Source organism: Homo sapiens, chromosome 1 (genome assembly GCF_000001405.40).
Source record: "Homo sapiens chromosome 1, GRCh38.p14 Primary Assembly".
Classification (NCBI taxonomy): domain Eukaryota; kingdom Metazoa; phylum Chordata; class Mammalia; order Primates; family Hominidae; genus Homo; species Homo sapiens.
Window position 1 is genome coordinate 16,398,939 of NC_000001.11, and position 22,683 is coordinate 16,421,621.

Consider the following 22,683-nt stretch of genomic DNA (forward strand, 5'->3'; position numbering starts at 1 on the left):
ATGGTGGAACCAGCAGTTGTGCTTAGGGGCCTGATTCCAAGTCCAGAGCTCCCTTCCCCAGCGGCCTGGAGGGGGACTGCTGCAGGAGACGTTCCCCTCTGCCCAGGTGCACAGTCTGCTAGTCCTAATATGGAACCATAGGGAACTCAGAGTACTCAGTTAGGTGCCACTGAGTCCTGGACACAGGAAAGCAGAAGCACTCTGGCTTCAGTGGAACAATCTGCTGGGTACACAGGCCCTCAACAAAGGTTTGTCTTCTTCGCCTTTTACCCTTTCTCCTCCCTGGAGCAAGCAGCCTCTCAGGTATGATCTCTTAGAAAGATGGATTCCCAGGCATTAGGCCAGGGGCCTCTTAAGGAAGAATCTGGAAGGGCCTGGGCTGGGACCCTTTCTCTGGGCACCCACCTGTTTCCTTGAGATCCTGACTGGAAGAAGGGGCTGCGGATGTCAGGATCCAGGCCAGGGGGTGTGCACTGGTCTAGTGCATAGTGGTTGCTCGGCTGCCTACGGACCATCTTCTTGTCCAGCTGTGGGCAGAGCAGGATGCAGGGCACCTGGGCATAGGGGCTCTGCAGGTTGGGAGCTGGTGAAGAAGGAGGCAGAAGGAGGAATGCTTCACAGCATGCCCAGCCTTGGGAAGCAGGCAGATTCAAGTGAAATCCTGGCGTTGCTACATAATGACCTGAGTGGTTTGGGGCAAGTCACTTAACCTCTCTAAGCTTCTGAGCTGGAGGTGATAGTGGTACCCACCTCACAAAAGTTGATGATGAGGATTAAAGGAGAAATATATGCAAAGCACTCAGCTCAGTGCTGCACACAGAATAAGAGCTGGTAACAGCTTAACAAGGAGCAGAGGACTTTGTGATGGGTGTTGGCAAAGTCTAGTAGGCATGCTCTAGAAAGACTGCAAAGCTCCTATCCTGTTACTTGGCACATAGTAGGAGTCTAATAAATGGTACCTGGGGGAAGGGAGGCAGGCTTGCCCAGTGGAAAGAGCATAGATTTTGGGGTCAGACCTGGATATAAACTCCCCTTTCCAAAACACTAGTTAGGGGCATTGGGCAAATTGCTGAACTTTATCAGTTTCATTTTTGTTTTTTTTTTTGAGACAGAGTTTTGCTCTTGTCCCCCAGGCTGGAGTGCAATGGCGTGATCTCGGCTCACTGCAACCTCCATCTCCCGGGTTCAAGCGATTCTCCAGCCTCAGCCTCCAGAGTAGCTGGGATTACCGGTGCTCGCCACCACACCTGGCTAATTTTTTAGAGATGGGGTTTCACCATGTTGGCCAGGATGGTCTCGAACTTCTGACCTCAGGTGATCCGCCCACCTCGGCCTCCCAAAGTGCTGGGATTACAGATGTGAGCCACTGTGCCTGGGTCAGTTTCATTTTTCTAATCTGTAAAATGGGGTAAATACATGATTATGAGTATTAAATTCTAGAGCATCTGCAAAGGGCCTAGCACAGTGGGCACTCAATAAACAGTGAGCTGGGATTGCTAATCTCTACAGCTGTTCTTTCTCAGTCCTGGCTCATGGGACCAACCTGTGCTCAGGCTAAGGCAGGAGGGGAGGAGTCCAACGCAGGAGGCCATTGTCATAGGCCTGGATGGAAAATAGTGATTATCAGCCTGTTTTCTGATGTACACAGTTAAGCCCGAAGTGGGAAACTGGCCTCTCAGCTCCCTTGGCCTGGCTGCCTGAGGGTCCAAGGAAAGGAGACCAGATGGGCAAGAGAGCAAAGCCCCAACCCTAGCCCATCCCACCCTGCCCAGGGCCCTCACCATAGTTCTGCTGCTTCAGCCGGCTCAGGATACTGAGGACCTTTCGTTCTGGAACTTCTGAGCTCTCTTCTTGCTGGGGGTTGTAGGGAAGCTTCTGCAACCGCAGCCGGCCTACGGCCGCTTCCATCTCCTGGGCCTTGCAGGTGCCTTCCTTCAGCTTTTTCTGGTAGTAGCTGGGGAGGCAGTGCCCACCCATCTCAGCCTGGCTGTGTTTAATTCACCCTTCTCCTCCTCAGCCCCTATCTCTCTGGCCAGCTCTGGAGCAGGAACACAAGCCTAGGAGTCAGGAAACCTGGCTTCTAGTCTCAGCTCAGCCCTTTCTGTGACCATGAGCAAGTCACTGCCCTGCTCTGGGCCTCAGTCACCCTGTGTAAAATGGAGGGAAGGGGTTCTCTCTACCCTGTCAATGCAAGTGACTTGACTTCTCTGAGCTTCAAGTTTCCGTTGGGTAAAACAGATCAGACAGTTCACATGCCGTAGGATTAAATAACAAGGATGAATTAACAAGGCCCATCAAGCACGCAGCATGGTGTCTGGCACACGGAAAATGCTTTGTACATGTTACCTATTATTTTGGGGAGGGGCGTGGCGGGGAGACAGAGTCTCACTCTGTTACCCAGGCAGGAGTGCAGTGGCGTGAACATGGCCTCACTACAGCCTTAAACTCCTGGGCTCAACTGATCGTCCTGCCCTAGCCTCTTGAGTAGTTGGGACCATAGGCACCAACCACCACACCCAGCTGATTTTTTTATTTTGTGTAGAGACGTGGTCTCGCTGTGTTGCCCAGGCTGGTCACAAACTCCTTGCCTCAAGCAATCCTTACACCTTGGCCTCCCAAAGTGTTGGGATTACAGGCGTGAGCCACTGCATTACCTATGATTACCTATGATTTTATCACTGATACATTTACTTAGATGTGCAAGTACTTATCTGTGCAATTAACTCCTGCTCATCTTCCAGATTTCAAGTTAAGGACTCTGCTCCAGAAAATCTTCTCTGTCCTATCCCCACCCCTACCCTACAGAGTAGCTAGGCTCCCGCTGGAGGCCCCCTGCAACCTGTAGTTACCCAATTATAGCCCGCAACCCACTTGATTTTCTTAACTCACTGCTTGCCTTTTCCCCCGCTAGACTACAACATCATTCATTTAGTAAGTATTCACTGAATGTTCACTGTGTCCTGGCCACTCTTCTAAGTGATTGGAAAAGAGTAGTGAAAGAGACATCCACACAGGGTCCCTGTATCATAGCCTCAGCCGCACCTCTTACTCCAGCCGTCTACTAACACCGTGGGCCAAGGGTGCCGCAGTGGCCACTTTCACACAGGCTTCAACTAGCTTTGCACAGGGACAACCCTACGGGTCTCACCTCAGGCCTGAGCCTCTTGCTTCCTGCCCCAGGGATTCTCTGACACACGTGCAACCCAGAAGTGTCGGGGAGTTAAGCACCTGTGGGGCACCCTTGCCAAAGGTGTTAGTAGATGAGCTATACAGGCTTTTCCCTTTCTTCTGGCAGTTCTGAGCTGCCATTCTTTTTTTTTTTTTTTTTTTTTTTTTTTTTGAGATGGAGTTTCGCTCTTGTTGCCCAGGCTGGAGTGCAGTGGTGGCATCTCAGCTCACTGCAACCTCCGCCTCCTGGGTTCACGTCATTCTCCTGCCTCAGCCTCCCGAGTAGCTGGGATTACAGGCACCCGCCACCACGCCCAGCTAATTTTTTGTATTTTCAGTAGAGACGAGGTTTCACCATGTTAGCCAGGATGCTCTCGATCTCCTGACCTTGTGATCCGCCCACCGCGGCCTCCCAAAGTGCTGGGATTACAGGCATGAGCCACCATGCCTGGCTTTTCTTTTTTTTAAGAGATGGACTTTCGTTCTGTCACCAAGGCTGGAGTGCAGTGGTGCCATCATGGCTCACTGCAGCCTCGAACTCCCGGGCTCAAGCAGCCCTTCCCCTTGAGCCTCCTGAGTAGCTAGACTACAGGCACACACCATCTTGCCCAGCAACAAAGTGCCTTTTGGCTGGATGTGGTGGCTCATGCCTGTAATCCCAGCACTTTGGGAAGCCGGGCATGGTGGCACGCGCCTGTAATCCCAGCTACTCGGGAAACTGAGGTGGGAGGATTGATTGAGCCCAGGAGGTCAAGGCTGCAGTGAGTCGTAATTGTATCACTACACTTCAGCCTGGGCGACAGAGCGAGACCCGGCCACCTCTCCTGAAAGCTAGCATTTATTGAGCAACAAGCATTAAAATATGTTCATTTCAAAGACAGGAAATGGAGGCTCGGGCTCCTCTGAGGCATGAGGGCCTGAAATTGCTATTTGAAGGTCAGCTGGACTGTTCTGCCTTCGCCTTTGCTTCTAGCCCTGGAATGTTCATGTTGTTTCACCTATGGCTATCTCTTCCTTAGATGAACCACTACCTACCCACCCACCTGCCCTGGAGACACGTGGAGGCTTTTGTGTCTTCTGACCCAGATAGGGTCCATCGAATTCCTTTCCTGGGACTGCTCAGTGCATGCTGCAGGAAAGAATTCCTCTTGCTGCACTAGGAGGGTGTAAGCATGGGGCCGCCAGCTACCATCCCTCCCTCTGTAGGGAGAGCCTAGCTGAGCTCAAAGCCAGTGCGCACAGACATGGATAGGTGGAGAGAGAAAGCCTTACTGGTATCATTTGGTCTCTGGGATCCCACTAGACCTGAGGACCCAACCAGTGATTTGAGCCATACATTCCCCTTTTGCTTAAGCTAGTTTTATTCTAGTTTTTTTCTTTTTTTTCTTTTTTTTTTTTTTGAGACAGAGTCTCACTCTGTCACCCAGGCTGGAGTGCAGTGGCTCAATCTCAGCTCACTGCAACCTCCACCTCCTGGGTTCAAGCGATTCTCGTGCCTCAGCCTCCAGTTTCTTTCACTTGTGACTAAAAGTCGTAACTACCAAAAGTTCTCAGTGCCAAAATGCTAGATGCCACCTCTGTGTCCACAACCCTTCACCCCCAACAACCGGCCCCACTCACTTTGTGATTTCCTCTAAGACTGCCTCTGGTAAGGCCAGCATCTCTACCAGCAGGGACAGGATCTCAAAGAGTAGAGTGTGGGGGTTGTGGGGAGCCATGTCCGACAGGGCGTTCTGTTCTGGAGACATGGGATAGTGGCTGCCGTTACCACTGGGCAGTCCTGAATGCCCTCTTCTCTCCCCGCAACCAACCTCCCAGCCCCTCCTCCAGTTCTGACTACGCTGGGCTCATCCCTGCTCACCCACAGAGCAGAAGAAGCGCCTGGTGTCTGTCATCACAGCCAAGAAGTCTTTGAAGTCCACACGACCATCTCCTGTGGAGGCCAGAGGAGTAGGGTGGGCAGGGACCTTCGGAGCAGGTCCATGCCTTGCAGCCCAGGCGTGGTTATTAGAAGTCACTGTCTGGGTCTGATTATCAAGCAGTGCATACTCAATGCAGAAAACATGGGGCACACAGGAAAGTACAAGCTGAAAGTGCTCAGACCTGTAATCCCAGCACTTTGGGAGGCCGAGGTGCGTGGATCACCTGAGGTCAGGAGTTCGAGACCTACATGGCCAACATGGTGAAATCCCGTCTCTACTAAAAATACAAAAATTAGCTAGGAGTGTTGGCACACACCTGTAATCCCAGCTACTTGGGAGGCTGAGGCAGGAGAATCGCTTGAACCTGGGACGTGGAGGTTGCAGTGAGCCAAGATCGTGCCACTGCCCTCCAGCCTGGGCGACAGAGCAAGACTCTGTTGCAAAAACAAACAAAAAAACAAAACCAAAAAAAGGAAAAAAAGAAAAATTGTTAAGAATTTCTATGATGTTGGGTGCGGTGGCTCACGCCTGTGATCCCAGCACTTTGAGAGGCTGAGGCAGGCAGATTCCTTGAGTCCAGGAGTTTGAGACCAGCCCGGGCAACAAAGACTCCATCTCTACAAAAAATAAAAAGTTAGCTGGGCATGGTAGTGCGCCTATAGCCCCAATTACTCAGGAGGCTGAGGTGGCAGGATTGCTTGAGCCTAGGAGGTCGAGGCTGTGGTGAGCAGGGATCACAGCATTATACTCAGTCTGAGCAACAGAACCAGACCTCGTCTCAAACAACAAGAACAACAAAGGCATTTCTAGACTGTGACAGTAGAGCATTAAACCAAGCACAGGATCCTTTAGGTGCAGAGCCTCATGCAACTGCACAGGTTTCAAGCCAGTGAAGCAGGCCCTGCCTGGGATGCAGAGTGGAGCCCTCTGCCACTCACCATTGACATCAGCACTCATCAGGGCGTCCTCCACCTGGGCCAGCGTCACAGAGAAGCCCATTAGGAGCAGGATATTCTTCAGGCTCTGTGCATCCACCTCACCAGGACCATTGAAGATCTCAAAGTAGCTGCGGAAGGCTGTGGGGAGGGCAGGGTTATGTGGAGTGGGGGCATTTCTTGTTTCTGTCATTCATCCCATTACCCCAACCACCCTCCTGCCAGCCTCCTCCACCATCAAAAGTGAAAATAAAATTGCTGGGTGCGTTGGCTCACACCTGTAATCCCAACATTTTGGGAGGCTGAGGCAGGCAGATCACCTGAGGCCAGGAGTTCAAGACCAGCCTGGCCAACATGGTGAAACCCTATCTCTACTAAAGATACAAAACTTAGCTGGGCGTGGCGGTGCATGACTGTTGTCCCAGCTACAACACTCAGCTAGGCTGAGATAGGAGGATTGCTTGAGCCTGGGATTTCAAGACCAGCCACGGCAACACAGGGAGACCCCATCTCTAATAAAAATAAAAATGAAAAAAAAAAAAAAAAAAAAAACTGGGCATGGTGGTGTGCACCTGTAGTCCCAGCTACTGGGGAGGCTCAGACAGTAGGATCCCTTGAGCCCAGGAGATCCAGGAAGCAGTGAGCCATGATCACACCACTGCACTCCAGCTGGATCAACAGAGTAAGACCCTCTATTGACTCCAACCCAGATTTTGCAATGGGGCTGAGAAACCTGACACCACACAGTCTGACTAGTACACGGCCTTTGTATCGGTGCTGCTCTGGGACGTTCTCAGACCCTTCCCATCCTCTGCTCTGGTCCACACAATGCAGCGATCCTTGCAACCTTGTCCATCCAGATAGGTGACCAAGATCTAGGGACAGACTTAGTCAGAAAAACTGTCCAGTCATCTAACCTCTGAGCCTCAGTTTCCCCATTGTTACAACAGGAATAAGCATTCTACTCTTTTGAGAACATGGCTGTAAAGAGCCTAGTCCAGTGTCTGGCACATAGTAGGGTGCCCTAAAGTGGGTGGGCTACTGGCACTGAGTGGAGGCTACTAATTAGCTGAGCTGTTGGCACTCAAACCAAACCCTTGGCCTGGATATGGAATAGACAGCAGAGTGAGTCAAGGGGACCACAGCCCTTTTTTCTTTTCTTTTTTTTTTTGGTGAGATGGAGTTTCACTCTGTCACCCAGGCTGGAGTACAGTGGTGCAATCTTGGCACACTGCAACCTCCGCCTCCCGGGTTCATGTGATTCTCCTGCCTCAGCCTCCCAAAGTGCTGGAGTTACAGGCATGAGCCGCTGCGCCCGGCCTGGCTCTGCCATTTAATGAGCCGGATTGCTCTTATGTTGAAGCCCTAACTCCAGTACTTCCAAATGTGCCTGTGTTTGAAGATAGGGCCTTTAAAGAGGTGAGAAAGTTAAAAAGAGGCCTTTAGGGTGGGCCCTAATCCAATCCAACTGGAGTCCTCATACAAAAAGAAAATTTGGGCTAGGTGCGATGGCTTACACCATCTACCCAGCACTTTGGGAAGCTGAGGCAGTAGAATCACTTGAGTCTGGGAGTCCGAGAACAGCCTGGGCAACATAAGAGACTCCATCTCTACAAAAAATTTTAGAAATTAGCCAGCCACAGTGGCACATGCCTGTAGTCCCAGCTACTCAGGAGGCTGAGGTGGAAGGATTACTTGATCCCCGAAGGTGGAGGCTGCAGTGAGGTAGGATCATATGACTGCATTCCAGCCTGGGTGACAGAACAAGGCCCTGTCTCAAATAAATAAATAAATAATAAACGCAAATTTGGACACACACAGAGATACCAGGGTTGCCCATTCACAGATGAAAGACCATATGAGGACAGTGAGAAGACAGCTGTCTGCAGGCCAAGCAGGGAGGCCACAGAAGAAAGCAACCTGCCGACCCCCTGATCTTGGACTTCCAGCCTGTGACAAAAGAAATGTCTGCTGTTTCAACCATCCAGTCTGTGGTCCTTTGTTAAGGCAGCCCGTGCTGACTGGGACGGTGGGCATGGGCAGGCTGCTGCATTCATGTGAGCCTCTATATCCATATCTGTACGATGGCCATGACAACAGGGCACCCTCTTGGAAGTATTCTATGAACTCAGTGCTGGCACACAATAGCCTCTGTTAGCCTGGAAGTCTCTGACAAACAGCGCTGAATGGTAGGGAAGAGGTGGGGCTAGGATTGGTGTTGGGGCACGTGGTGACCTGTCGTGCGCAGGCACACCACAGAAGGAAAAACCAGAGCAACTCTCAGAAGCAGGTGTGATCGCTCAGAATGCCTGGTGGTTTGAGCCACTGGAGCAGGGCAGTCGGCCCTTCAATTACCAGACAGGGATTGGGAGCTGTGGGACCTTGAGTCTCTGAGTCAAAGTGGCATGTTGTTCATGAACTGCTCAAGGAGGTGGGGCAGGGAGAGCTGCACTTAGGAAGGTGGCTAGGGAGTTGTATATCATTATTATTATTACTATTACTATTATTATTTTTGAGACGGAGTCTCTCTCTGTCACCCAGGCTGGAGTGCAGTAGCGCGATCTTGGCTCACTGCAACCTCCACTTCCCAGGTTCAAGCGATTCTTGTGCCTCAGCCCCCTGAGTAGCTGGGATTTCAGGTGCCCACCACCACACCGGGCTAATTTTTGTATTTTTAGTAGAGACAGGGTTTCACCATGTTGGTCAGGCTGGTCTCGAACTCCTGACCTCGTGATCCACCCGCCTAAGCCTCCCAAAGTGCTGGGATTACAGGTGTGAACCACTGCTCCCGGTTGGAGTTGTATATTATTTTATTTTTAAGAGACAGGGTCTTGCTCTGTCGCCCAGGCTGGAGTGTAGTGGCATAATTGTAGCCCACCATAACCTCGAACTCCTGAGCTCAAGTGATCCTCCCACCTCAGCCTCCTGGGTAGCTGGGACTACAGGCTTATGCTACCATGTCCGGCTAATTTTTAAAGTTTTTGTAGATGTGGGGGTCTTACTATGTTGCTTAGGCTAGTCTTGAACTCCTGGCCTCAAGCGATCCTCCTGCCTCAGGCTCCCAAAGTGCTGGGATTATAGGCATGAGCCACTGTGCCCAGCCCTGGTAGAGGGTTTTAATACTAGAAGGGGTGAACTTCAAGGATGGGGTCACAGGGAGCTAGTGAGAGCATCCAGCGAAGACAGAGGAAGGGGCCGCTGTGGCCAAGAGGGTTGCAGGCTTTGGAGAGGAGTAGGGGATGGAAGGAGGATGTACATCCATTCTTCTAGGGCCAGGGTGATGGGGGAGTGGGGTCACAGGGCCCCTTCCTGAGGACAATAGAGAGCAGGGTAGGTGTTCAGAACTTTTTAACTTTTTGGTGCAGGTGAGATGCAGTGGGAATGGGGTACATGTTTAGGCTGGTGGCCTTGTTTAATGGTGAGGGACCATCTAGGATGGGCAGGGTTCCTGGGGCCCTGTCTCCCATCCAGGGTGCTCTGAAGAGGACCAATAGAGCAGGCTTGGGTTAAGGGAAGAAGAAACTATTCCAAAACCTAAAGCACTGTGCAGGGCATCTGTCATTCTCTCAGAGAGGCAGCTCTGGCACAGGGAGAGCGCTGGACTTCGAGTCAGAAGACCTAGCACGAGGCTGGGCGCGGTGGCTCACGCCTGTAATTCCAGACTTTGGGAGGCTGAGGTGGGTGGATCACTTGAGTTCAGGAGTTCGAGACCAGCCTGGCCAACATGGTGAAACTGTCTCTACTAAAAATACAAAAATTAGCCGGGCGTGGTGTCACACATCTGTAATCTTAGCTATTCAGGAGGTTGAGGTAGGAGAATCGCTTGAACCCTGGAGGCAGATGTTGCAGTGAGCTGAGATCGCACCACTGCACTCCAGCCTGGGTGACAGAGCGAGACTCTGTCTCAAAAAAAAAAAAAAAAAAAAGACCCAGCATGAGTTCTGGCCCCCCCAACCCAGCAGCTTTGTGAGCTGGAGCCAATCCCCTACCCTGCCCTGCCCCATAGGCCAAGTGCAGAAAACCCCTGCTGGGTCTGCTACACATGGCGGCAGCCATGTGATCTGGAAAGCACCCCAGTCCGCCCTGCGCCTATAAACCCCCAAGGACCAAGGGTCCTGCCTGTGCTGGGACCTCCCTGACCTCCCTGCCCTCACCTTCCTCTTGCTTCAGGGTCAGTTGCTCCTCGGACTTCTCCCGGTTTTGATAAAGCTTTTGGAGGCTCTGCTCTTCCGGCTCCTGCCTGCAGAGGACAGAACCCCGACCCAGGGCAACATCCGGCCGCCCACCCTGCTGATAGCTAGGGGAGGGGTTGGGGGAGCCTGCAGGAGGAGGTCGTGGGGGAGGCTTTGGGGAGCCCGGAGAGATCAAGAATGGCAGGAAAAAGGAGATCCAGAGGAGAAGTGGGACAGAGGAGAGGGGACTAGAGGGAGACCCCTTCGGGGGAGTTAGAAAAGGGGTCAGAAGTGGGAGAGGAGGCAGAGACATGGGAGATGCGGAGAGGAGACACATGAGGAGAAATGGAGAGAGGGGGACACACGAGGGAACAGGCAGGTGCAGGGACAGGGACCTGCATCCGGGACAAGGCTCTGATCTTGGGGCCTTTCAGGAGCGGGCGGGTGAGCAGCGGGGGCTCCTACCGCGCCTTGGCGTAGCTCAGGGTTCTCTCGCTGCTCTGGTGCAAGAGTTCCATCCTTCTCCAGCCCAGGTCCAGGGCAGGGCCCAGCAGGACAGGGCAAGGCATGGAGGTGGGGACCGGGGCTCCCATGGGGGCAGGTTCTGGCCCAGGAGCTGGCAGCCGGGCCCACGATGGGCCGCTGGCAGGGACCGAGGCAGGGGTCTGAGGCAGGCTTGGAGCTGAGGTGGGCACCGGGGTCAGGGTCCTGGGCGACTTCTGGGCTGTCTGGGACCGGGCCTTCGAGGCTCTCCGATGGGAGGCCTCCATTTTCTCCACCTCCAGCAAGCACTTCATGAAGCCCTGCCGGAAGTTCCCGAGGCTCTGTGTCCCTGCAGCCACCGCGGGCTTCTGAGGCTGCTGCTGCGCACGGTCTGGCTCCCGCCTCTCTCCAATGTCCCTCACCTCCTGGGGACAGGGGAGGGGATCCAGGAGGCCTCTAGTGGGCCAGAGTGTCCCACAAATCTCCTCCCTGCCATCCCCTCTCCAGAGATCCTCAGACTGCCCCTTACTCTCTGAGCCTTTGGAGGATGTACCCCAAATCTCACATGCACCCCACTGTGCTCCTGCCCCACGTCCTCCCCAACACTTGACTTGCCACATCCAAGTGAGCTGTATTTTCTTTTTTGAGACAGGGTTTTACTCTGTCACTCAGGCTGGAGTGCAGTGGTGTGATCTCAGCTCATTGCAGCCTTGACCTTCCAGGCTCGAGTGATCCTCCCACCTCAGCCTCCAGAGAAGCTGGGACTACAGCCGCGCACTACAACGCCCAGCTAATCTTTTTTTTTTTTTTGAGACGAAGCCTTGCTCTGTTGCCCAGGCTGGAGTGCAGTGGTGTGATCTTGGCTCACAGCAACCTCCACCTCCCAGGTTCAAGCGATTCTCCTGTCTCAGCCTCCTAAGTGGCTGGGACTGCAGGTGTGCACCACCATGCCCAGCTAATTTTTATATTTTTAGCAGAGATGGGGTTTTGCCACGTTGGCCAGGCTGGTCTCCAACTCCTGACCTCACATGATTTGCCTGCCTCAGCCTCCCAAAGTGCTGGGATTACAGGCATGAGCCACTGCGCCCGGCCTAATCTTTGTATTTTTTGTAGAGACAGGGTTTCACCATGTTGCCCAGGCTGGTCTGGAACTCCTGACCTCAAGTGATCCTCCGCCTTGGCCTCCCAAAGTGCTGGGATGACAAGCGTGTTCCACCGCGCCCGGCTGAGCCATGGTCTTGAGTGAGTTACTCCTGGTCCCACCACTTGGCTTTGTTCATGCCTGTTGTCTGCCCTCCTGACCAGAAGGTAAGCATTATGAGGGCAGGATCTTGGCTGCCTCTTTTATTCCTGTACACCCACTTCTCATTCACTCAGCAACCCCAGTCTCTCTTGCACCTGTTCCCTCCCCTCAGAGGGACTGGCTATCCCCATTCTGCCTCTTGCCAGGCCAGGCTTTTCTCCCAATCAAAGACACTGTGCTTACCACACACTCTCTCTTCCTAAGTTATCAACTTCGCTTTCCCCACCAGATTACTCCTATCAGCATGTAAATATATTATCATCTTCCCTCTTTTATTTTGAAAGAAATAGGGTCTCGTTTTGTTGCCCAGGCTGGAAGGCAGTGACACGATCTCAGCTCACTGCCACCTTGAATTCCTGGGCTCAAGAGATAATCCCACCTCAGCCTCCCAAGTAGCTGGGACTACAGGTGCTCACCACCAGGCCTGGCTAATATTTTAATTTTTTGTAGAGACAGGGTCTTGTCTTGCCCAGGCTGGTCTCAAAACCCTTGGCCCAAATGATCCTCCTACCTCAGCCTCCCAAAGTGCTGGGATTGCAGATGTGTGCCACCAAAACCGCTAATCTTCCTTCTTTAAGAACAAAACAGGCCAGGCAAGGTGGCTCACGCCTGTAATCCCAGCACTTTGGGAGGGCGAGGCAGGCGGATCACAAGGTCAGGAGATCGAGACCATCTTGACTAACATAGTGAAACCCCGTCTCTACTAAAAATACAAAAAATTCGCCGGGTGTGGTGGCAGGTGCCTGTAGTTCCAGCTACTAAGGAGGCTGAGGCAGGAGAATGGCATGAACCCAGGAGGCAGAGGTTGCAGTGAGCCGAGACCGCGCCATTGCACTCCAGCCTGGGTGACAGAGCAAGACTCTGTCTCAAAAAAAAAAAAAAAAAAACAAAACAAAACAAAGTCTCCTGATACCACCCCACCCCTGATCATCCCAGTTCTCTGCTCCCCTTCTATTGCAAAATTCCTTGAAAGCGTTGGCTGTCCTGACTCCCCACTTCCATCTCCAATCAGGCTCTGCCCAGCACTCCCCAAAGCTGCTCTCGCCATGCCACAGTCAGATCTCTGCCCTCATCTGAGTTGACCCCTTGGCAGCATTAGACACAGATGCCCATTCACTCTGTCCTTCTGGAAATGCTCCCTTCTCTAGACACCCGCCCCTCACTGGCTGCTCTGCCCCTGCCTCCGGTGCTGGCTCCCCCTCACTTGTGCTCCATTTCTCAGTGTTGCAGAGACCCAGGGATTTGTCCTCAGTCCTTCCCCTGCTCTGGACTCCCTCCCTCCCTAAAAGTCATCCTGCTGCCCATGACTCCATTTTCCTCACATTTCTTTGTCCTTCCGAATACCAGATGTCCTCCTTGACATCTCTTCTTGGGTGTCTAGAACAGGACCAAAGCAGAGACCCCAGGTTCCTCTCATCTGCTGCTACCCAGGCTCGTGTCTCACTTCATGACACCACTGGTGGCTCAGGCCCCAGACCTAGAGTCCTTTTATTCTTTTCCAACTTTTTTTTTCTGTGATAACATACACGTAACATTTACCATCTTTGTTTGTTTGTTTTGAGACAGAGTCTCACTCTGTTGCCCAGGCTGGAGGGTAGTGGCACGATCTTGGCTCACTGCAACCGCTGCCTCCCGTGTTCAAGCAATTCTCCTGCCTCAGCCTCCCAAGTAGCTGGGATCACAGGTGTGTACCACCATGCCCGGCTAATTTTTGTATTTTTAGTAGAGACAGCATTTTACCATGTTGGCCAAACTGGTCTCGAACTCCTGACCTCAGGTGATCTGCCTGCCTCGGCCTCCCAAAGTGCTGGGATTACAGGCATGAGCCATCATATCCAGCCACATTTACCAACTTAACGATTTTCTTTCTTTCTTTCTTTCTTTTTTTAGATAAAGTCTTGCTCTGTCGCCAGGCTGGAGTGTGGTGGCGTGATCTTGGCTCACTGCAACCTCCAGGGTTTGAGCAATTCCCCTGCTTCAGCCTCCTGAGTAGCTGGGACTACAGGTGTGCACTACCATACCCGGCTAGTTTTTTGTATTTTAGTAGAGACAAGGTTTCACCATGTTGGCCAGGATGGCCTGGATCTCCTGACCTCTTGATCCGCCCGCCTTGGCCTCCCAAAGTGCTGGGATTATAGGCGTGAGCCACCACGCCCGGCCAACGATTTTTTTTTTAGAGACAGTGTCCTGCTATGTTGCCCAGGCTGGTCTTTTCATCTTGTAGAACAGAAACTCCATATCCATTAAATAATAACCTCCCATCACCACTCCCCCGGGCCCTGGCAACTACCATTTCCACCTCCTGTCTCTACAGATTTGACTAAGAATCTCATATAAGCAGAATTGCTTTGTCTTTTTGTGACTGGCTTATTTCACTTAGCATAACATCCTCAAAGCTCATCCATGTGGCAGCATGTGTCAGAATTTCCTCCCTTTTTAAGGCTGAATAATAGTCTATTGTACGTACAGACCACATTTGGCATATCCATTAATCTGTCAATGGACACTTGAGTTGCTTTCATCTGTTATCCGTTGTGAATAATACTGCTATGAACATGGGTGTACAAAGATCTCCTTGAGATCCTGCTTTCAGTTCTCTGGGGTATATACCCAGAAATGGAGTTTCAGCATCATATAGTAATTCTATCTTTAATTTTCTGAGGAACTACCATCTTTCTCTTCTCTTCTTTTTCTTTTCTTTTCTTTTTTGAGACAGAGTTTCACTCTTGTTGCCCAGGCTGGAGTACAATGGCGTGATCTTGGCTCACCGAACCTCCACCTCCCAGGTTCAAGCGATTCTCCTGCCTCAGCCTCTGGAGTAGCTGGGACTACAGGTGCGTGCCACCATGCCTGGCTAATTTTTGTATTTTTAGTAGAGAGAGGGTTTCGCTATATTGGCCGGGCTGGTCTTGAACTCCTGACCTCAAGCGATCTGCCTGCCTCGGCCTCCCAAAGTGCTGGGATTACAGGTGTGAGCCACCATGCCCAGCCTATCATACTGTTTACCACAGTAGCTGTACCATTTTACATTCCCACCAGCAGTACACAGATGTTCCAGTTTCTCCACATCCTTGTCAACACTTGTTATTTTCTGTTTTTTTTCTTGTTTATAGCAGTCGTCCTGATGAGTGTGAGCCTAGAGTTCTTTTTTTTTATTTTTTTGGGACAGAGTCTCGCTCTGTTGCCCAGGCTGGAGTGCAGTGGTGCAATCTTGGCTCACTGCAACCTCCGCCTCCCGGGTTCAAGTGATTCTCGTGCCTCAGCCTCCCGAGTAGGTGGGATCACAGATGTGCGCCACCACAGCCTGGCTAATTTTTTTGTATTTTTAGTAGAGACAGGGTTTTACCATGTTGCCTAGGCTGGTCTTGAATTCCTGGCCTCAAGGGATCTGCCCACCTCAGCCACTCAAAGTGTTGGGATTACAGGCGTGAGCCACCGCACCCAGCCTAAACTGTATTTATTTATTTACATGTTAATGGTCTAGACTTTCTGCCAACTAGGTCACAAGCTCCATTCACCATGAAATCCCCAGTTTCACAACTGTTTTTGGTATGTTGTCCTCAATATGTATGTTAACTAAACACTGATTATTTCAGTTTTCTCAGTGATGTCTGAGAAGCAAGATAATGTAAATAATGCACTTGGACAGAGTAAACGCTCAACAAACAGTACGGTTGAAATAATCATAGCTGGACGGGCGCGGTGGCTCACGCCTGTAATCCCAGCACTCTGGGAGGCTGAGGCAGGCAGATCACCTGAGGTTGGGAGTTCGAGACCAGCCTGACCAACATGGAGAAGCCCCGTCTCTGCTAAAAATACAAAATTAGCTGGGGTTGTTCGCATGCCTGTAATCCCAGCTACTCGGGAAGGCTGAGGCAGGAGAATCGCTTAAACCTGGGAGGTGGAGGTTGAGGTGAGCCGAGATCACACCATTGCACTTTAGCCTGGGCAACAAGAGCGAAACCTCATCTCAAAAAAAAAAAAAAAAAAAGATTCTAGTTGAGTATTCTGACAGCCTAGAAAAGAGACCCATTTTCCCATGTCGAAGACTCCTTTAATTGTTTTCCTGAATTAAGGGCAAATGCTCAATTTCTGTCAAGCCTAAAACAAACTAGCAATTAAAAGCAGTTCTGGGCCAGGCGCAGTGGCTCATGCCTGTAATCCTAACACTTTCGGATGCTGAGGCAGGTGGATCGCTTGAGCTCAGGAGTTCGAGAAGAGCCTGGGCAACATGGTGGGACCCTGTCTCTACAGAAAATACAAAAATTAGCCAGGCATGATGGCTCGCGCCTGTACTATCAGCTACTTGAAGGGGCTAAGGTGGGAGGATCACTTGAGCCCAGGAGGCGGAGGTTGCAGTGAGCCAAGATTGTGCCACTGCACTCTAGCACTCTGGGTGGCAGAATGTGACCCTCAAAAAAAAAATCAGTTCTGGGGCTCCTGCTCCATTGTGATATTGGGGCCCAAGATGGTGGCCATGAATCCAGCCTCACTGTCATCATGGCCCTCCGGGGACTCCCCATGGCCCTCTGGGGACTACAGGGCTTCCAAAGTCCGGGGCCTCTGCCCCTGTTGCAGATACAGACTCTGAGCCCCAAGGTGGGTAGAAGTCTGTCTCAGAATGTCTCCTATTATTATTATTATTATTCTTTTTTAGAGACGGAGTCTCGCTCTGTCACCCAGGCTGGAGTGTGTTGGTGTGATCTCGGCTCACTGCAAGCTCCACCTCCCGGGTTCACGCCATTCTCCTGCCTCAGCCTCCCGAGTAGCTGGGACTACAGGCGCCCGCCACCATGCCTGGCTAATTTTTGTATTTTTAGTAGAGACGGGGTTTCACCATGTTAGCCAGGATGGTCTCGATCTCCTGACCTTGTGATCCGCCCACCTCGGCCTCCCAAAGTGCTGGGATTACAGGCGTGAGCCACCACACCCGGCCAAATGTCTCCTATTATTTCAGGATCCAGCACCAAGTTTTGCTCCCAGCAGGCGCTCAGCCTGTGGGTGAACGATGGTGCCAAGGCCCTGACATCTTTCCCTCCAGCTTCTCCAACCCTCACACACCTGGATTCCTCCTTCTGCCTTCTCTGAGCCCCTTCCACCTGGCACCAGGTGTCCTGAACAGGCCACTGCATTGACCTCTGTGCAGCTCTTCTGTCACTGCTCTGCTACCCCCGAGCCTGCAGGGGCTCCCTGTGACTGTCACACCCATCCCTTCATCCATCTGTGCCACAAGTGCAGTCACGTGGGTACAGGGGTGCCTAGTGCCCAGCCTCGGGGTGCTCTAGTCTAGTATTTCTTCCTAGGCCCAGCTTTTTGCAAGGTGTTAAGAGTGTCATTGAAGTGCTAAGGCCAAATGCTTCACTCCACGACTGTGCAGGATGGGTCTCTGGTGCAGGTGGGCCTTGGACCCACCCAGTTCTCTCTCATTTCTCACTTGTAGTTCTGAAGATTACACAGTTAAAGAATGTGGTGGGGGCCGGGCACGGTGGCTCATGCCTGTAATCCCAGCACTTTGGGAAGCTGAGGCGGGTGGATCATTTGAGGTCAGGAGTTCAAGACCAGCCTGGCCAACATGGCGAAACTCTGTCTCTATTAAAAATACAAAAATTAGCCACACGTGGTGGTATATGCCTGTAATCTCAGCTACTTGGGAGGCTGAGGCGGGAGAATTGCTTGAACCCGGGAGGTGGAGGTTGCAGTGAGCTGAGATCACACCACTACAGCACTCCAGCCTGGGCGACAGAGAGAGACTCCATCTCAAAAAAAAAAAAAAAGAATGTGGTGGGAATGCAATATCCTAAGATAGGGAGGGACTGGCTGGAACACCCCAGGATCTGTTCCACTCCCCTGAGCCCCAGAAATAGGATGGCCTTCAAGGCTTTAGCCCAGCAAATCATGTCACCTTGATGTATAAAACCCAGGGTGTGCTGCTTTCTGCGGTCCCTCAGCAAGTGCGGCACACGCAGACAGGACTCCCTCTGTCCCAGACAGCTTTCCTGAGCCTTGGGGCCCAGGCTCACAGTGGATCCTAGGCTTCTATTGTCCTTTGTTGCCCATCTTTAGTAATAAACTCACTTTTATAACATGTATGCATGGGTATTCTGCCTCACTGGACTCAAGACAAGTTGGTAACCAGTACACGGTGAGCCTGCCTCACATCCTGGAGGCTTCATATCACAGCCAGTCTAGCTTTTCAGCCGCTCTGTCCATTGTATCCAATATGCTTGTCCCACGAGGCCCAGATGATGGCCCTCTCCATCGTCACTTTTCATTCACCTTCCTTCCCATCTCTGTAACTTTCCTTGTGATGGGTCTGCTGCCTGGCTGCCCTTTCTTTTCTTTGCCTTTTTTCTTTTGAGACGGAGTTTCACTCACTGCCTAGGCTAGAGTGCAATGGCAAGATCTTGGCTCACTGCAGCCTCTGCCTCCTGGGTTCAAATGATTCTCCTGCCTCAGCCTCCCAAGTAGCCGGGACTACAGGTGCCTGCCACCATGCCCAGCTAATTTTTTTGTGGGCTTTTTTTTTTTTTTTTTGAGACAAAGTCTCGCTCTTGTTCCCCAGGCTGGAGTGCGATGGCACGATCTTGGCTCACTGCAACCTCTGCCTCCCAGGTTCAAGCGATTCTCTCTTGAATAGCTGGGATTACAGGCACCTGCCACCACGCCTGGCTAATTTTTTTGTATTTTTAGTAGAGACGGGGTTTTTTTTCCCCATGTTGGCCAAGCTGGTCTCGAACTCCTGACCTCAGGTGATCCGCCCACCTCGGCCTCCCAAAGTGCTGGGATTACAGGCATGAGTCACCGTGCCCGGCCATTTTTTGTGTTTTTAATAGAGATGGGGTTTCACCATGTTGACCTGGTTGGTCTTGAACTACTGACCTCAGGTGATCCGCCCACCTCAGCCTCCTAAAGTGTTGGGATTACAGGCGTGAGCCACTCACTGCACCTGGCCCTGGGCGCCCTTTCTACTCCCTGGCTCTGTCTGTATTCCATTCCCTCTGTATGGCCTAATATCAGTCCTCCCTCTCCAGAAAGCTACCTGCTGGCCCCAGGGCTCCTCTGAGTGCCTGCAGGACTTCCTGTCCAGGACCTCTCATCTCTTGTGGTGCCACCAGCTCAGCTGCATCCTCCAGAGCAGGGAGCAGGGGCCCTCCCCGGCTTTCCTTGTCCTTTCTCTCCAAGCACTGGGCCTGGTATGCCACAGACACTCAGTATGTACTTGCAGAGCTAAATTGTGCCCTCTCCTCTTCTCCCCCACAGTATCCAGCCCACGCTTTGCATGGGGTAGGGATGGGGTAAAAGGCAGAAACACACAGGCAAGGAATAGTTCTTATTTCTCTCTCTCTTTTTTTTATTTTTATTTTTTTTGAGATGGAGTCTCGCTCTGTCGCCCAGGCCGGAGTGCAGTGGCGTGATCTCGGCTCACTGGAAGCTCTGCCTCCTGGGTTCATGCCATTCTCCTGCCTCAGCCTCCCAAGTAGCTGGGACTACAGGTGCCCGCCACCATGCCCAGCTAATTTTTTTGTATTTTTAGTAGAGAAGCGGTTTCACCTTGTTAGCCAGGATGGTCTCGATCTCCTGACCTCATGATCCTCCCGCCTCAGCCTCCCAAAGTGCTGGGATTACAAGCATGAGCCACCATACCCTCTCTTTTTTTTTTTTCCAAGACAGAGGCTTGCTCTGTTTCTCAGGCTGAAGTGCAGTGCCGCTATCTTGGCTCACTGCATCCTCTGCCTCACGGGTTCAAGTGACTCTCCTGCCTCAGCCTCCAAAGTAGCTGGGACAACAGGTGCACGCCACCATGCCCCACTAATTTTTGTATTTTGGCCAGGCTGGTCTTGAACCCCTGACCTCAGGTGATCCACTTGCCTCGGCCTCCCAAAGTGCTTGGATTACAGGGATAAGCCACTGCATCCGGCCTAGTTCTTATTTCTCATCTGACTTCTCACTAGTCTGGAGAGGTACCTCATCTTATTCCCATCCATTCATTTATTCAACACATTCCTGTTGAGTACCTACCACGTGCTGGGCATTGTTTGAGGCACAAAGCATAGAGGAGTAAGTCAACTAGCAAGGCTGCCCTCAGGGAGCTTGCGTTCTAGATAATGAATAGGTTGACAACTTAAAGATAATGTCGGAGGGAGAAAGTACTACAAAGACAATAAAACAGGACAATGTGATAGGCTGAGTGTGGCTGACAGGCTCCTTGAGATGGCTGGCCAGGGAAGGCCTTGTGGAAAAACTGATGTCGAAATTGAAAGTGAATGACTCAAGAGAGCCGTAAGACTGTCTATGAAGAGGAGTTCAGGCACAGGAACATTCAAAGGCCCTGGGGTGAGACTAGGCTTAGCATATCCAAGGGCTGGAGGTTAGACCAGAGTGGCTAGACATAGGGCTTTATGGCTCTTGGTGAAGATTTTGGATCTTATTCTAAGAAGATGAGGCTTGGACTAGGGTAATGAAAGAGGGAGTGGAAGGAAGGGACGGATTCAGGATTTATTTTGTAGGTAGCACTAAACAGGGCTTGTTGACACGTGAAAGGATTATAGAGGGAAAAGGAGGAATCAGAGGTGATTTTGAGCTGGGTTGCATGAGCCCCTTGGGTGAGAAAGGCAGTGTCATTTGCTGGGCTGAAGAAGACTGCTGTGGTCATGTTTGAGAAGTGAATTAGCCAGCCAGAGGGAATTCAAGTAGGCCATTGGATATATGAACATGGAATTTAAAGGCAAGGTCTATGGCTGGGCATGGTGGCTCACGCCTGTGATCCCAGCAGTTTGGGAGGCTGAGGCGGGCGGATCACCGGAGGTAAGGAGTTCGAGAGCAGCCTGACCAATATGGTGAAACCCCATCTTTACTAAAAATACAAAAATTAACCGGGTGAGGTGGTGCTTGCCTGTAATCCCACCTACTCGGGAGGCTGAGGCAAGAGAATTGCTTGAACCTCAGAGACAGAGGTTGCAGTGAGCTGAGATTGCGCCACTGCACTTCAGCCTGGGCAACAGAGACTCTGTCAATTCAAAAAAAGAAAAAGGCAAAGTCTCGCCTGAAGATATGGATTTGGGAATCATCAGAGGGACTGAATGAGATCATCCAGGGAGAGAATGGAGATGGGAGACCAGAGGGTGGAGCCCCGAGGGTGGAGAAGATGAGGAGGAACTAGGGAGGGAGACTGGGAAGGAGTTGCTAGTGACATGGGAGGAGAACCAAGGTAGGGCTGTCATGGAGCCTGGAGAAGGCAGCATTGAGGAGAGAGGGAGCCACTGTGTCTTCTGCTGTTGCGAGGTGGGCTCTGTAAGGACAGAGCTCTTCCATTTGATAAGCCAGATGGAGATTATGGAGACCCCGATAAAAGCTCTCATATGGGGATGTGTTGAGAAAAGACAAGCGGAGGAGGTGAGGGGGACAATTATTGAGGGATGGGGCTGCAAAGGGGAGCAAGGAAAGACGGCTTTTGACGCCAGGTATGTTTGTACACGCCTGTAGTCCCAGCTACTCAGGAGGCTGAGACTAGCTTGAACCCGGGAGGTGGAGGTTGCAGTGAGCCGTGATCACACCACTGCACTCCAGCCTGGGCAACAGAGACTCTGTCTCAAAAAAAAGGAAAGAAAGAAAGAAAGGCAGCTTTTGATATTGTGGAGGCTGAGCCATGTTTGTATGCTGATGGAATCGTCCTGTAGTAACGCAGAGAGGGATCATGTGGTGGGGGGAGGGGACGAGAGCTAATGAATAAATGGGGAGACAGCCATGGGAGCAGGGGCCCATCTTCACAGCTCCCATTGCAGCCAAATCAAGGCAGGGAGGGTGGTGGGTTTGGGGATGCTTCTTCTCATCTGATGCTTCTGTTTGTCAGTGACACATGAGTGAGATGAGGGGCGTGGGGGATGCTGTTGTGAAATGATGACCTGGAGCGGAGGGAGGGCGGTGTGGCCAAGGAAAAGTGAGACTTGCAGGCAGCATCTGACATGAGTGGTTAATGCTTGAAAGTGAAACCCATCAATAAGACAGGATGTTCTCCAACCGCATTAAGCTGCTCAACATGGGTACAAGGCTGAGTGAGTTTAGCCAGGGTGGGGTTTTGCCAATGAACAGAACAGGATGAGACAGGGCAGATGCTGGCAGGGCATGCATGCTAGTGACTGTGTATTTGCAGGTTGCCTGGTCAGGTCAAAGAACTAGGAAGTGGCAGAGCTTGGGGAGGGAAGGATGGCTGGGAGGGGTCGGGGAAGCCTCCCAGGTGTTCAGGGATGCTTTGGATTGTGTGGCTGTGGCCGAGGGCAAATGGGTGGAAGAAATCCATGCTGATGTGGAACAAGCCACCACCTGGGATGAACCCAAGGGCTCCAGAGTGTAAGAGCATTCTTGATGCCCACCCAGAATACACACACATGCATACACACAGGCACAGGCACACACACACACGTGTGCACATCCATGTGCACTTTAACACACAGCCACACACACCTTCCTTGGTTTGACTCCAAATAGGGGTTTGACGTGCCACATCCGCTTCTGCCCTCTTCCTCCTCCTGATCCCCCCTGCCTTTCTCCTACACAGCTCGTCCCCGTTCCCCCTATGGCCCTACTTACTGGTGGAGGAAGAGGCCCCGGTGCTGGGTGGGTCTCCACAGCCTCACCCCTGAATAGAAGAGAAACCCCCAGGTGGGGGAAGCGCTCAGCTGAAGGTTTGCCCCCCTGCCCTC

The 22,683-nt window shown here is 51.9% G+C and overlaps 1 protein-coding gene across 10 annotated transcripts in view, besides 1 other annotated feature; it reads right to left on the reverse strand.

Annotated features, from left to right (window-relative positions):
- Positions 1-22,683, reverse strand: part of SPATA21 (spermatogenesis associated 21) — a 42,166-nt gene that overhangs the window by 3,262 nt on the left and 16,221 nt on the right. For 2 of the 10 annotated variants that reach the window (XM_011541407.4, NM_198546.1), the window contains 8 exons: positions 22,571-22,619; positions 10,663-11,105; positions 10,180-10,265; positions 6,029-6,166; positions 5,030-5,101; positions 4,789-4,906; positions 1,782-1,954; positions 406-583 (listed from right to left, as the gene is read on the reverse strand). In XM_011541407.4, coding sequence (XP_011539709.1) covers positions 406-583; positions 1,782-1,954; positions 4,789-4,906; positions 5,030-5,101; positions 6,029-6,166; positions 10,180-10,265; positions 10,663-11,105; positions 22,571-22,619 — 1,257 coding nt within the window. Of the gene's footprint in view, positions 1-405; positions 584-1,507; positions 1,698-1,781; positions 1,955-4,788; positions 4,907-5,029; positions 5,102-6,028; positions 6,167-10,179; positions 10,266-10,662; positions 11,106-11,839; positions 12,265-22,570; positions 22,620-22,683 lie in introns of those variants that run through there. The other 8 variants (NR_148413.2, XR_946645.2, XR_001737156.2 and 5 more) reach the window with 8 other exon arrangements.
- Positions 2,477-2,652: a silencer, noted in NCBI's record as "fragment chr1:16727910-16728085 (GRCh37/hg19 assembly coordinates)". NCBI's record gives its function as "represses an EF-1alpha promoter that drives an FKBP-Casp9 reporter gene in an ReSE screen in K562 erythroleukemia cells {active_cell/tissue: K562}" and the evidence as "EXISTENCE:reporter gene assay evidence [ECO:0000049][PMID:32094911]".